General features: G+C 39.8%; 1 annotated feature.

Annotated features, from left to right (window-relative positions):
• Positions 326 to 375: a silencer, noted in NCBI's record as "silent region_16082". NCBI's record gives its function as "represses an Ori minimal core promoter by ATAC-STARR-seq in GM12878 lymphoblastoid cells {active_cell/tissue: GM12878}" and the evidence as "EXISTENCE:reporter gene assay evidence [ECO:0000049][PMID:35858748]".

Below are 16,347 nucleotides of genomic sequence, written 5' to 3'. Positions count from 1 at the left end.
CCTCTGGGCCCCTCCCCGCCGCCCTTCGCTCTGTCCTCCGCCTGGCTCCGTACTGTAGGCTCCCAGTCACCTCTCCACCCGCCTCCCTCGTCGGTCGCCTATTGCTGCTTTAGCCGTGAAAGGCCCAGAACACGCTGCCTTTTCCAGTTAACGTGGGGGCTGGAGGGAAGGAGAGAGCTCGTGCTCCCCTCCTTTTCCCTCCTTTGTCCTCACCCCTGCCCTGCTTGTCTAGGCGAAGGAGGCCCAGGAAAGCGGCCCTGCACGCAGCTCTGCCGGCCTCAGCTCGCGCAGTCCACCCTTAGATCTTACAACTGAAGGTGGCGCTTTCAAATCCCCGTTTCATTACCTATTTGTGCTTCCTATCTACCGGATACCGCGAACTGCTCTTCATGCTACAGGGGGAGAAAAAGATGCATTCAGACCTTCAGTTTGTTTACTACAGTAACCATGACGCTGGAAGACCGGGCGTGCAATATAAAACCCAGGAAGGGAGCGATTAAAAGAATAGAAACAAGACAAACAGGCAACACAGCCCAAATCCCAGAAAGCAGAAGGGGCATTGCTCTCAGGTTGCTGCCTCGGCCCCGTCAGCCGGGGAGAAGGGCTTTTTGGAGCATTTGTTAAGTGCCACAAAGCCCTACCAGGATTGATAAAAAGCGTTTTCCTCTGAGGTTTTCATGCATTCCTTCAACAAATATTTACCAAGTGCCTAATATGTTACAAACATTGTTCTAATTGACAGACATCTTTGCCCTCATAAGAACTGACATTATCATGGAGGAAAGAGAAAATAAAGAACAAACATAATAAATAAGTGAATTACATATTGGAAGGTAATTTTTAAAAAACAGAGCAAGCTAACAGCATGAGTGTGTGGGGATTCCAGTTTTAAAGAGAGTGGCCTGGGTGGGCCCCAGGGGGAAACCTGCTGGCAGGAAATAGGCAATCCCAGATTAGCCTGCTGTGCCTATGAGCTCACGGGCCCTTCCTTGTGCTCATACATGTGCATAGAGCTGGAGACCCTTGCAGAGGGTGGCTGTCTTTTACTGCTTGAATAGGATGAGAGGTGGGGCATCAGTTATTCACACTTTAATAGACCATTGCAGCTTTGACTTCCCCTGCTTCCATTCCTAACCTCTGGAGAGCTGCGAAATGGTGCCGATTTCCGAAAACAGGTAGGAAGGTAAGGGAGGAAAAAACCCTAAAATGAGGAGTTGTGTGCTTTGGAGAGGCACTGGCATCCCCGGATTGACTCCTGAGAAAGCTAATGGAAGATGGATCCAGGTTTAGGGTAGGAACTAGCTATTTATCTACTAGTCAAGGGACATATTTTAACCATCCTGAATTAGATTTTGCAATCAGGTTGATAATAATGACAATAATAATTAAAATAGCTGGTGTTTATTGAGTACTTACTAGGTAACAGGTATCGTGCATAGGTTTCACATGTAACCTTTTAGTTTTTTCTTCAGCTAGAATGTCATGTAAGCTCCATGAGAGTAGAGACTTTATTTTGTTCACTGCTGTGTCAGAATCAATGCCTGGCACCTAGATGGCACTCACTGCACGAATGAATGAATGATTGCATTCTGGTAAAGAGGTTCAAGGCGCTCCTGCTCTGGGCCTTACAATGAGATGCTGAGGAGGTTTTAGGCCCTTCCTCTTCTTCAGAGTGCAGCAAACATAACACATACCTGTTTCTTGTTATTGTTGACTGCTCTATAGATACTCCAGGCATTGTTAGAGGGACAGTTTCTTCTCTTTACTGTGTTTTCCACCCTCCCCATCTCCTTGATGGGCAGGTGGTTAGAGGAGGAAAAAAAGGGGGTGAGGGGAAAACAAAACTTTATCTTGCCATTCATCCATGACTTCATTTACATTTAGTTCTTACAACAACCCATTTTACAGAAGAGGAAACTGAGACTCAGAAAGATTAAGCAGCTGTCAAGGTCTTGTGCAAGTTAATGCCAAGGAGCCTCAGCCCCTGGATCTGTGCTCTTACCCATTACACTAGATGGCAGGGCAAAGAATGCAATATCACTATTCTGCATTTTTTCTGTTGTTTCGCTTACCCCATCTCCAGGGGTAGGGCAATGTTTAGGGCAGGTTCCCTACTGTCTAGGGGGATATTTAAAAGCATGCCAAATATTTTGACAATGAATTCAAAGCAAGAGATCACATTATTTTCTTTCTTGGAATTAACAGTGAACTGGCTAGAGTTCATTATTACTAACAGTTGGCTCAGTGGAGGAATATTGGGCCATGAAGCTTATTTGGGCACAGGGTGTTTGTTGTTGTTCGGCTGCTTACCTCCTTTGGGGTTGTCAAGGAATAGGGGTTTGTTAGTGCCTATTATACATTTGGTGCTTAAGCAAGTTACTGAGTGGGGAGGGGCAGGAAGGATTAAAATTGCAGCAGAAGTCCTGCTTAATCTGACTGCACTGATGGCTGGCAGCTACTAAAGAGAATAATAATAAAAAAGACTACTACCAGACCATCCTGGCTAACACAGTGAAACCCCATCTCTACTAAAAATACAAAAAATTAGCCGGGCATGGTGGTGGGCACCTGTAGTCCCAGCTACTCAGGAGGCTGAGGCAGGAGAATGGCGTGAACCCAAGAGGCAGAGGTTGCAGTGAGCCGAGATCGTGCCATTGCACTCCAGCCTGGGCGACAGAGTGAGACTCCATCTCAAAAAAAAAAAAAACAAAAAAAAAAACAAATAAAAAAACTACTACCTAAAACATTTTAATTGTACATATACCTGAAGTTAATATGTAAACATATAAATTCATATAAATACATATACATATAAATTCAATTGTCAGTTTTTCATGGAAAGCTAAGACCTGTGCTTTGGTTCTAGATCAGCTGATAAGAGTTCCGTATGATCTTTCTGGAATACATCATATCCATAGTGAATAATCTATTATTTCCAGTTTTGGTTTCTTTCAAGTGACTCAACAACATAAAGACAGTTTTCATGCAAGCTGACTGTGGATGACTTACAGATTTTTCGTATATTTCCCCCTATGTTATTTGAATTGTCTTTCTCACACCTAATTTGAGAATGAAGTTTTTGTGTATGTGTGGTTCAATTTTATGTGTCTTTTCACAGCATTCAAATCAGTTTTTGTAGAAACAGTTTTTTAATTCACGTGCTCTAAATTTATCTATTAAGTGAAAGCACTACTGATGTAAGGACATAGGGCTACAAACATGGCTGATCCTTGGCAAGCTCGTAACTCAAGGGAAGAAGTAGACACAGAGCGACTTCCTAGCTGAGAGACTTCTCTATGCCATGGGCATGGAGCAGTAACTTTTCTAGAGGAAATGGAGATCGTAAGTAAATTTGGAGAGTCAGCCAAGTGGAGGCTGAATAAGGGAGCTTCTACTATATATGTACCTGAGACATGTCACTATTCTAGCCCTCCAGAATCTCACAACTTATTGGGAATATGTCCTAGAAATGTGTCCCCATATGCCTTACTCATAATCCACAGAGGTCTCCTCCCCTAAATCATTGTTTAGAACCAAGGGGTTCAACTTGCCTTATCCCCCAGATCACTTGAGGTGAACACCCCACCCACAGATAGCTGCCCACGCCTTGGAGTCTTTATGGAAAAGAAAAGTCATGTCAATTATATTCCCCTAACAAGGAATTTACACTTAGGAAACAGAGAAACTCAACAAATTGGTGATGGGTGCTCAAATGAGAGGTCATGAAGTCAGGTTTGGGTAGCTATGATGGGACCATTGGGGTTTTGAGAAAACAGAAGTACAGATGGACCAGGTAAAGAAAAGCGGAAATCTAGATGAAATAGTTATGCAAAGAAATAGGCAGTCCATAAGAGAGAGGGAAATGAAGTGTGGCTGGTCTTCAAGATTCCTGGCTTTCTCCCTTCCTGGATCTTAATTGTTTTGCATTTCCTGAATCTCTCTGTGACCTTGCTATAGTCTTGCCATTTGACATCCCTTTTAACTTGAGTTAGTTTGAATAGGTTTGTGGCCCTTGCAATCCAAAAAAAAAAAAAAAAAAAAAAACCCAATTAGATTAAGAGACAAGGTGAGAATAAGGTAGTATTAAATTGTATGTTTCTATGCATTAAGAATTCCCAAGAGTTCAGAGAAGAGAGAGATCGGTCGATATCTTAATTTTTTGCTCTTCTATTCTGCTAAACTTGGAAGATAGGCTCAAATAAGCTCTGCCATTAGTTCTGCCCAGCCCATTTCAAACATCGAACACTGCATTTACCCATCCTTGCTCCTTGGCCAGGATTCCATCCTTCCCTCTGTTGTTCCCACTCTGATTTTGTATTCTAGACCAGTATCTCCTGTCTCTGCCCAGTCCCCAGTGTCCACCAGTTTTAGTGTACTGGAACTGAGATTTGCCTTTCTTCCTTCTTTGGAGCTTCCAAGACTGCCCCTACCATTGAAGCTGCTCATGTGGCCAGTTCCAGCTACTGGCTGAGGCCTCCTCCCTGACGCCTTTCTCCCTACACTCCCTCTTTATTATTGGCTATAGAAACCTCTCTTAGTCACACAGGCTATTTCCCAGGATCTTGCCCTTCCCTGTCCTTGTTCTTTTAATCATTATTATCTCAGGAATTTCACAGACAAGGTGGGATTTGGCTGGGCTTGGAAGGATAAGTGGATGTGGTTTGGCAGAGGGGCAGGAGAAAGGCAGTCCAGTTGTAATGGTTTATACCAACTTCATTCTCATTGGCTTTCAGACTATGGCCCTGTTTTTAGTAAGAGCATGATATCATTGTCGTAGGAATGAAGAGCCATCTGTTTACCATTTTACGCAGGGACAAATGTATACGTTTGTTAGCTGTGATATGAAAATTTTTAAAGTCAGTACTTGCACATGATGCCAAAGCTTAATTCCATGAAAGGCCCAAGAAATGTATGAGTCATGTTTCCTGTAATTGTGAGAAGTTGTGGGTTAAATGGAATAAGGAGCATCGGTAAGAATACTCTCAACCATTCCAGTTAAAAAAGGTAGCTACGCCTGTAATCCCAGCACTTTGGGAGGCTCAGCGGGCAGATCACAAGATCAGGAGATCGAGACCATCCTGGCTAACACAGTGAAACCCCGTCTCTACTAAAAACATGCAAAAAAATTAGCCAGGTGTGGTGGCAGACGCCTGTAGTCCCAGCTACTCGGGAGTCTGAGGCAGGAGAATGGCGTGAACCCGGGAGGCGGAGCTTGCAGTGAGCCGAGATCGCGCCACTGCACTCCAGCCTGGGTGACAGAGCGAGACTCTGTCTCAAAAAAAAAAAAAAAAAAAAAAAGGTAGCTATACTCAGTACTCAGCAGAAGACTGACTGATCGTAACATTACAACTACCACTTTAACTCCTCAGGTTAAAGAAAAAATATTTACCAATCTACTATATCATCTGAAAGGGAATATCTAGTAACCTCTCAGTTATACGGTATTGAGAATAAGTGAACTTTTTACATAATTGAAAGTTATTCCTTTAAGTGGTAAAATGTTTATTGGAAGTTGTATCAGATTTTCCTGCTTTTATCAAACAGAGAGTTTTAAACTAAATACTCCTAGGTGGTTCAAGTTCTCCCTAGACATTTTGTAACATCTGTTTGCCACAATTTCCACTGATGAGCAGGCCTAGGGTAGCTATGCTTTGAAGCATGTGACTCTCCTCCCAACTGATTGAATAAAAATGGGCACCTGTTTCAAAAGTAGCCAGTCTACAAGCTGGCCAATGATGATTGACCTACAGTCTGGCTTAAAAAGTTGAGTTGGACAAATAGGATGCTCAGTAATTTAAGCCAAATATGGAAAGAGGTAAAGATTTGCAAGCCGAGCCTAAATAAAACCTCTGTGACATAAAGTCAGGGCTGAAGAGTCCATGATGGACTATAAATAAGCAAAGCTGTGAGGAAGCAGTCACTGTGGTGAGGCAGATAAAGTCAATTGAGGGAAGACTAAGGAGCTGATATGCAGAGATCTCTGTTCCTAAAAGCCAAAAGAATCTAGCTAGAATGAGGGCCCTTCCTTCATTCCTTTAGCACCATGTGTAGGCGTTCAGCCATCCTGAAGTGTTCAGGGCAGGGCAGCTAACACTGAGCGTCTCCAGTTTGCTCTTCTTTTTGGGCTGGGGCTACTTGTCCTTGGTAGTCTTCCGGGTTCCCATAAGTCCCCTGTCTTCACTCTTGGGAAGTCTATATTTTCCCGAATCATCAACATTTCTAGGCTTTGCTCTGGCTCCTCTGTTTTGGCCAGTTGGTTGCCATTTTTCATCACTTTTTCAGTTCCTTCTGTCCTAGGTCTCCTGGGATTCTGGGTTTTGACATTATTGTGGACTGGCTTCTATAGCCTTCAGATGTCCTGCTCTCTTAGGTGTGTGCTGTTGTCTAGAAAAAGAACCAGTTGCCTCACGTCTTCTGTAATCTTCAAGGTTGGATCTTCCCAAAGTGAACCACTGCTCACTCCCAGAGGCCTTTGGGGGCTATTTCAAGTTTGCAGCTGTTTTGGAGAATAGGGGGTACCAGATGTCAGAGAAATACCAATTGGCTAATAATGTATTATGTTCTTTTCTTTTCTTTCCTTTTTTTTTTTTTTTTGGCAGCAAAGGCTTGCCTTTCAAGTCCCTTGCTTATTTTAAAATTAGTTTGCCTTCCATGAGCTTAAACTATTTGAGCTGTAGGGGGTAAATGAGCTGAGATGTTTGTTGTGCTAAATTTCAGGGAAAAGTCAACCCGAATTAAAATTCGACCTCAGGTAATGAACAAAATAAATATTGTTAGATAATTAAGAATTGATAATAGTGCTGATTCTACTATGATATAGAAAATACCTGAACACAATATTAACAAACAAAATAGAACAATTAAGAGGGAGAATTTTAAACTTTCTAAATGCCAGGTGAGCAAACATACTATTAGTAAATCTCTTACTGCCCATTTTCTTGAGAGATTGGAATACCTATGCTCTGTCTAGCTTCTGGATTCCTGTGGGCCTTTTATGTCTGATAATCTGGAGATGAAACTAAGGGTCACAGCTTGGCCTAATAGCATGAGAAAGTAAAGTGACCCAACATCTTTAAAACACCAATCATTTTCCCCTCCATATGCTTTTAGAAAGAAAACATGGGACAAATTGACTCCAAGCATAGCTTCCCACCTCCCTTTTCTCTGGCCCCAGTTTGGAAAAGAAGACAAACAGCTCTCCCTGCGATCCTGCATCTTCCTGTGGAGCACTATTACCCTGAGCTGTAAAAGACTTCTGGGTACCAAATAAAGAATTTAGACATGCATCCCTTCTGAGAGAGAGTCACAGGAAAGTAAAGGAAAGGAAGGTTTGGGAGGAAATATTAAAGATGTGGCACTGTTTCATTCAGGTGACAAAGTCATGGTGAGTTTCTTTGCCTCCATCCATCCATCCATCCAGCCAGCCAGCCAGCCAGCTATGTAGCTTAGAATGAGAATTCAGAAGTAATGTTTGCTGAGGAATGTGTACTAACATGTGTATTTGAAATGATTTAGAAAACATAATAGAAAGCCATGTCTATATGAAAGTAAGCCTGATTTGCTAATTAATTTGACAATGACAACGGCTTTGCCAATTATGTTATATGGTGGACCTTTTCTATAAATTGTATGAGCCAATGCAGTTTCATTGTTTTTTTAAAAATAAAATATTTAAACAATTTATAAGATGGTAGAAATTTCACTCTTTGCATTTATTTAAATGAATGATAAAGATGCCAGCTTAAAAATGTGGATGGGTGTAGAGTTTTAAAAAATTATTTTGCCCTGGAAATACTAGAACAAAAGAATTGAGTACCACTGCTGTAAAGAATGGTTAAGAGAGCTATGGTATTTTGCTTGGGGAAGATGAAGACTTGTGGAGGTGGTGGGGATGTGGGGACTTGTTCTTAAACAATTCAACTAAGCAAGTGTTATAAACGCTTTCTTTGTGCAGAGCACGGGACAAGGTGCTGTGGTCACACAGAGATGAGTAGATGCTGATGACATTGCCATGCCTTTAAACTAGGTTAATTTGTATCAAGAAAGATTTATGCTATACATCATTTTGGGAGGAGTAGGTGCTCTAATGAAATAAAAATGGGGTATCATAACTCCAAAAATGTTAATCTTGGGAGTGAACCATCTTCCTCATAAAGAGGGCTAGACCACTGATGGGAAGCCCTGCATCAGACTTTTAAAATAAGATCTGGCATGTGCAAGAATGTTCACAGCAACACTACGCACATGGTCACAAACCAAACCAACCCAAATGTCCTCTTCAGTAGAATGGATAGAAAAATCACATATTTAAACAACAGAATATTGTAGAACAATGAGACCAAATGTCAAGAAACTACAACTATGCACAATATGGATGAATCTCACAAACGTTATGTTTAGTAACAAAAACGACATAAAAGGTCACCTACAAAATATAGAAAATTAACTCAAAAGGTCAAATCTAAGAACTATTGGTGTTCAAGAGGAAGTTGAGCAACAGCAAGGGGTAGAAAGCTTTTTAGAGATATAATAACAGAAAAATTCCCAAAACTTGAGGAAGGTATACATATCCAGGTACAGGAAGGTCAAAGAACACCAAACAGATTTGATCCAAGTAAGACTAACCCAGGGCATATAATAATCAAATTTTCAAAGGTCAAGAACAAATAGAAAATTCTAAAAGCAGCATGAGAAAACAAGTAAATAACATATAAAGGAGTGTCAATTCATCTGGCAACAGACTTCTCAACAGAAACCGTACAGCCCAGGAGGGAATCCTGAAAGAAAAAAAAACTGTCATTTAAGAATACTGTATTCAGCAAAGTTATCCTTAAAATATAAAGGAAATATAGTCTTTCCCAGGCAAACAAAAACAGAGAATTCATCACCACCAGACCCATCTTATGAGAAATACTAAAGGAAGTTCTTTTATCTGAAAGAAAAAAGCACTAATATTAAAAAGAAAACACAAACATTTAAAAATACAAAACCTACTGGTAAAATTAAGTACATAGACAAACCCAGAATAGTCTAATACTGTAATTTTGGTGTATAATACACTCATAACAGTAGTATGAAGTCCCCCATCAACCTATCAAAAACAATAATACCTACAGAAACGTGTTAAGAGACAGGTAACATAAAAATATTAAATTGAGGCTGGGTGCAGTGGTGTATGCTTGTAATCCCAACACTTTGGAAGGCTGAGATAGGAGGATTGTTTGAGACCAGGTGTTTGAGACCAGCCTGGTCAACATAATGAAACCACATCTCTATAAAAATTAAAAATTAGCCAGGCATCCTGGTGTACACCTGTAGTCCTAGCTACTCTGGAGACTGAGGCAAGAAGATCTCTTGAGTTGTCTCAATGTACATATATATATATCTGTTCTTTTCTTTGTGATCTAAGACCAGTTGCCATCTCTTTAAAATAACTTATTTCTATGAGATGGTTTTTGTAAGCCTCATAGTAACTACAATGCAAAAACCTATAATAGATTCACTAAAATTAAAAAGCAATACATTAAAACATACTACCAGAAGCAATTACTTAACCACAAAGGAAGATGGTGAGAAAGGAAGAAAGGAGCTAAAAAGCAACCAGAAAAGAAGCAACAAAATAGCAGTAGTAAGTCCTTACTTATTAATAATAACACTGAATGTAAGTGAACTCAATTCTCCCATTAAAAGGCACACAGTGGTTGAATGGATAAAGAAACAAGACCCAACCATATGCTGCCTACAAGAAGCCCATTTCACCTATAAAGACACACATAAACTGAAAATAAAGGGGTGGAAAATGATATTCCATGCAACTGGAAACAAAAAAAGAGCAAGAGTAGTTATATCAGGTAAAAAACTACAAATTAAAGACTGTAAAAGGAGACAAAGGAGGTCATTATATGATGATAAAGAGGTCAATTCACCAAGAGGATATAACAATTATAACTATCTATGCACCTAACACTGGAGCATCTGAGTATATAAAACAAATATAAATAGAACTAAAGGGAGAGATAGACTGCAATACAATAATAGTAGAAGACTTCTACACCTCACTTTCTATAATAGACAGATCATTGAGACAGAAAGTCAACAAAGAAACATCAGAGTTAAACTATACACTAGACCAAATAGGCCTAACATTTACTGGACATTTCACCCAACTGCTGTGGAATACACATTCTTTTCATCAGCACAGGGAACATTCTCCAGAATAGACCATGTCTCACGCTACAAAACAAGTCTCAACAAATTCCAAAAGGTAGAAATCATATCAAGTATCTTTCTGGCCACAATGGAATAAAACTACAAATCAATAACAAGAGGAACATTGAAGACTTCACAAACACATAGAAATTAAACAACATGCTCCTGGACAACAAATGGGTCAATGAAGAAATTAAGAAGGAAATTAAATAATTTCTTGAGGCAAATAAAAACAGAAATACAACATACCAAAATCTATGGGATACAGCAAAAGCTGTGCTTTGAGGGAAGTTTATAGCTATAAATGCTTATATCAATTAAGTAGAAAGACTTCAAATAAACAATCTAATGATGCACCTTAAGGAGCTATAAAAGCAAGAACAAACCAAACTCCAAATTAGTAGAATGAAAGAAATAATAAAGATGAGAATAGAAATAAATGAAAATAAGACCAAAAAAAAAAAAACCAATACAGAAGAAAAATGAAATGAAAGTTGTTGTTTGGACAATATAAACAAAGCTGACAAACCTTTGGTTAGACTTTGGTTTTCAAGAAAAAAAGAGAGAAGACCCAAATGGATAACATCGGAAATGAAAAAGAAGACATAACAATGGAAACCACAGAAATACAAAGAATCACTAGAGACTATCATGAACAACTATATGCTAACAAATTGGAAAACTTAGAAGAAATGGATAAAATCCTGATCACATACAACCTACCAAGATTGAACCATGAAGACATAGAAAACCTCAATAAATAAATAATAGGTAATGAGATCAAAGCCATAATTAAAAGTCTCCCATCAAAGAAAAGTCTAGGACTTTTCTTTGGCTTCACTGCTGAATTCTACCAAGCATTTAAAGAACTGATGTCAAATCTACTCAAACTCTTCAAAAAAATTGATAAAGAAGAAATACTTTCAAACTCACCCTACAAGATCAGAATTACTCTGATGCCAAAACCAGGCAGGGACACACACACACAGAAAGAAAACTACAGGCCAATATCAGTGTTGAACATAGACGGAAAAATTCTCAACAAAATACTATCAAACTGAATTTAACCATACATTAAAAATATCACTCACCATGACCAAGAGGGATTCATCCCAGGGATGCAAGGATGGTTCAATATAAGCAAATTAATAAGCATAATACATCACATTAACAGAACCAAGAACAAAAGCCACATGATTACTTCAATAGATGCCAGAAAACATTTGATAAAATTCAACATTCCTGTATTAAAAGCCCTCATCAAATTGGGTATAGATGGAATATATAACAAATTAATAAAGGCCATATATGACAGACTCACAGCTAACAACATTGTATGGAAAGGGGAAAAATGGAAGGCCTTTCCTTCCTTTAAAATCTGGAACAAGTCAAGGATGCCCACTTTCACCTCTTTTATTCAATATAATACTGTAAATCCTGGCCACAGGAATTAGGCAAGAGAAAGAAATAAAGGGCATTCAAACTGGAATGAAGAAGTCAAATTAGCCTTGTTTGGAGATTACATGATCTCATACTTAGGAAAACCTAAAGACTCTACAAAAACTGTTAGAATTGATAAATGAATCCAGTAAAGTTTCAGGATACAAAATCAACATTCAGAAATTGGTGGCATTTATAACACACTGAAAGCAAATAATCTGAAAAAGAAATCAAGAGAGCAACCCCAGGCTGGGTGCAGTGGCTCACACCTGTAATCCCAGCACTTTGGGAGGCTGAGGCAGGCAGATCACAAAGTCAGGAGATCAAGACAATCCTGGCTAACACGGTGAAACCCCATCTCTACTAAAAACCCAAAAATATTAGCCAGGCGTGGTGGTGGGTGCCTGTAGTCCCAGCTGCTCAGGAGGCTGAGGCAAGAGAATGGCATGGATCCAAGAGGCAGAGCTTGCAGTGAGCTGAGATAGCGCCACCACACTCCAGCTTGGGGGACTAAGCAAGACTCTGTCTCGTCTCAAAAGAAAAAAAAAGAGAAAGAGCAACCCCATTTACAATAAAAGAATACAAAATACCTAGAAATCAATCTAACAAAGAAGTGAAAGATCTATACAAGGAAAACTATAAATTAGTGATGAAAGCTGCTATAAAGACACATGTACACATATGTTTATTGCGGCACTATTCACAATGGCAAAGACTTAAAGACTTGGAACCAACCCAAATGTCCATCAATGATAGACTGGATTAAGAAAATGTGGCACATATACACCATGGAATACTATGCAACCATAAAAAATGATGAGTTCATGTCCTTTGTAGGGACATGGATGAAGCTGGAAACCATCATTCTTAGCAAACTATCGTAAGGACAAAAAACCAAACACTGCATGGTCTCACTCATAGGTGGGAACTGAACAATGAGAACACTTGGACACAGGAAGGGGAACATCAGACACTGGGGCCTGTTGTGGGGTTCGGGGAAGGGGGAGGGATAGCATTAGGAGAGATACCTAATGTAAATGACGAGTTAATGGGTGCAGCACACCAACATGGTGCACGTATACATATGTAACAAACCTGCACGTTGTGCACATGTACCCTAGAACTTAAAGAATAAAAAAAAATAGTGATGAAAGAGACAAAAGAGGATACAAAATAATAGATATTCCATGCTCATAAATTAAAAGAATTAATTTGTTAAAATGACAATGTTACGCAAGGCAATTTACAGATTCAATGCAATCCCTATCAAAATACCAATGACATTCTTCACAAAAATGAAAAAACATTCCTAAAATTAATATAGAACCACAAAAGGCCCCAAATAGCCAAAATAATCCTGAGCAAAAAAACGAAGCTGGAGGCATCACACTCTCCGACTTCAAAATTTATGCAAAGCTATAGTAACCAAATCAGAATGGTACTGGTACAAAAACAGACACATAGACCAAGTAACAGAAGAGAACCCAGATATAAATCCATACATTTACATCCAGTTCATCTTCAACAAAGGCACCATGAACATATAATGGGGAAAAGACAGTCTCTTCAATAAATGGTGCTGGGAAAACAGGATAACTACATGCAGAAGAATGAGACTAGGCCCCTATCTCTCACCATATATAAAAATCAAATCAAAATGGTTTAAAAACTTAAATCTAAGACCTGAAACTAGTCTGAAAGTACTAGAAGAAAACATTGGGAAAATGCTCCGGTACATTGGTCTGGACAAATATTTTCTTGTGCAAGACCTCAAAACCACAGACAGCCAAAGCAAAAATAGATGAATGCGGTTACGTCAAGCTATAAAGCTGCTGCACAGCAAATGAAACAATCAAAAGAGTGATGTGACAACCCACAGAGTAGGAGAAAATATTGGCAAACTATCCATGGAACAAGAAATTAAAAACCAGAGTACATAAGGGATACAAACAACTCAATAGCAAAGAAACAAATAATTCAATTTAAAAATGGGCAAAAGATCTGAACAGACATTTCTCAAAAGAAGACATACAAATGGCCAAGAGATATACAAAAAAATGCTCAATATCGCTAATCACTGGAAAAATGCAAATTAAAACTACAATGAGATATCTCACTCCAGTTAAAATGGCTATTATCAAAAAGGTAGGCAATAATGGATGCTGGTGAGGATGCAGAGAAAGGGGAACCCTGTGCACTGTTGGTGGGAATGTAAATTAGCACAGCCACGATGGAGAACAGTATGAAGGTTCCTCAAAAAACTAAAAATGGAACCACCATATAATCCAGCAATTTCACTACTTGGTATATACCCAAAAGAAAGGAAATCAATGTATTAAAAAGACATCTGCATTCCCATATGTATTGTAGCACTATTCATGATAGCCAAAATATGGAATCAACCTAAGTGTTCATCAGTGGACTAATGGATAAAGAAAATGTGGTATATATACATAATGAAATAGTATTCACCCATGAAAAAGAATGAAATCCTGTCATCTGCAGCAACATGGATGGAACTGGATGTCATTATGTTAAGTAAAATAAGCCAAGCACAGAAACAAATATAATTCTCAGTCACGTGGGAGCTAAAAGGTGGATCTCATGAAGAAAGAGAGTAGATTGGTAGTTACCAGAGGCTGGGAAGGGTAGGCAGGAGGGAGAGATCAAGAGAAGTTGAATAACGGGTACAAATGTATGTTTGATAGAATAAATAAGATCTAGTTTTACATAGATCAGTAGCTTGATTAGACTTTACAATATCTTTTTTTAAAGACACTTCTATAAAGAAATACAATATCTATTGTATATTTCAAAATAGCTAGAAGAGAAGAAGTCAACTGATTCCAGCAAAAAGAAAAGGCAAATATTTAAGGTGATGGATATTCCAAGTACACTGATTTAATCTTTGCAAACTATATGAATGCATTAAATTATCACATGTACCCCCAAATTATGTATATTTATTATGCATCAATAAACATTTTTCAATTTAAAAAATTAATAGAGCTGACTATGATTTGTCTTTTTATGTATATATGTTACACATCAATAACATTTTTTTAAAATAACAAAATCTCATGGCGTTCAATGTTAAGTTAGTCCTGGGTTGAAAGGATCATCCTGTTGCTCTGGATAACTGTACATGAAGTAGGAATAAAGACACCTCAGAGGTGGAAGGCCATGTTGAATAGAGTTTAGGATTTTGCTGTGCCCATTCAGAGTTCTGCTACTGCTGCTTCTACCTCATCAATCACAGGCCATGGTCCTCCTCCATCTCCCCACCTCATCACTAGAGCTGTCAGAGCTCTGGCTCTCATTCAAGCTGTGAAATGGCACACAATTTGAAACTTATTTACTGGGTCTGAGCCAAGGCCATATCCCATTCCTGCTCATGCATCTCAGTTGGCTCAGCACAAACTTCCATTCCCTTCACTTTCAGTCAGGATCCAGATAAGCCAGGACAGAGCTAGAGCTCCAGTGGCCTGATTAGAAATCTTTCCATCCTAGCTTAATGGGAGGGTTGGGAGTTTCAGCTCCTGACACCCAGTGGGTGGTTTCACAAGTTTTAGAAGGTGATTGTTCAGGTGATTGGCAGCTCAGGGAAAGAGGGAAAAGCCTTTTCTGTGAATCTCGCAGGCAGGGTTGCAACGCGGTGTGAGCATGGAGCAGCTTGGCACAGAGCAGCATTGACAGTCCCCTGGCTGGCTGCGGGGATGATATCAGATCCCAACTGGATGCTGCCCCCATTCAGTCAAAGCCGTGCAGCCTGAAATGGCACATGTCCCCGCGGGTCAGCTGGCCTGGAGAAAACATGGCCTCAATGTGACAGTCCCCACATTCTGCAGACTTAAAAGGGAAATCCCTTGGATTCTGCCTGGACTCCTGGGGCTCAGCCCTGGCCTTGCCCTGGGGCTGCAAAGAGAAATAAAAATATGGGAAGGCCTGTGTGTGGCTGCGATGGATTCTTCAACGATCAGAGGCCGTTTCCTGCCTGTGAGAAGTTGGTAGCCTGAGCGTCTTGTTCCTTGGATCCCTCCTTTCCTCTGCTGCTGATGTGTCCAACACCTCACCCCCTCCCTATTGCTTCTCCTCACCCCACCTCACTCCCACACACACACACACCCCTACCTAGAGGCTGAATCAGAATGTTTCTTAGCCTTGACTCACTTTAGCAGCTCCTTGCTATCAGGTGTAACTCCACACCCCATTTTATTTTTCAAAATTTTGTGAAATGAAGACATTAATTCAAGGCTGATTTTCTTTTGCTGCCACAGATGTCCACATAATTGTTGGATCCTCATAGTGGCGAAGGTGGTCTGCTGTCCCTACCTCAAGGCAGACAAAGGGAATGGCAGTTAGATCCAGAGAGACACGATAAGACAAAGCGATTCAGAGATGTAGAGAGCAGAGTCTGGCAGAATTAGATATAGAATTGCACTAGGGAAGAGTACTGGGTTACATGTGGGTTTTTGCAGAATCCACTTGACCTGCTCTCTACTTGGTGCCTTGTGGCTGCCACTAACTTCTGTGCTCAAAGGGACAGTATTTTTCTGATTAGCCAAACCCAGATTCTGCTTATATTTGCACCCACATCCTTATATGATGTGAATAGGTCTGTTACCCTCCAACATCAATTAATTAGGATAAATATTTCTCACTTTCAAAACAATTTACACAGAGTTGGGATTTTGTTTC

Source organism: Homo sapiens, chromosome 5 (assembly GCF_000001405.40).
Source record: "Homo sapiens chromosome 5, GRCh38.p14 Primary Assembly".
Classification (NCBI taxonomy): domain Eukaryota; kingdom Metazoa; phylum Chordata; class Mammalia; order Primates; family Hominidae; genus Homo; species Homo sapiens.
Note: the sequence above shows the minus strand (reverse complement) of the source record. Positions and strands in the feature narration are given on the sequence as shown.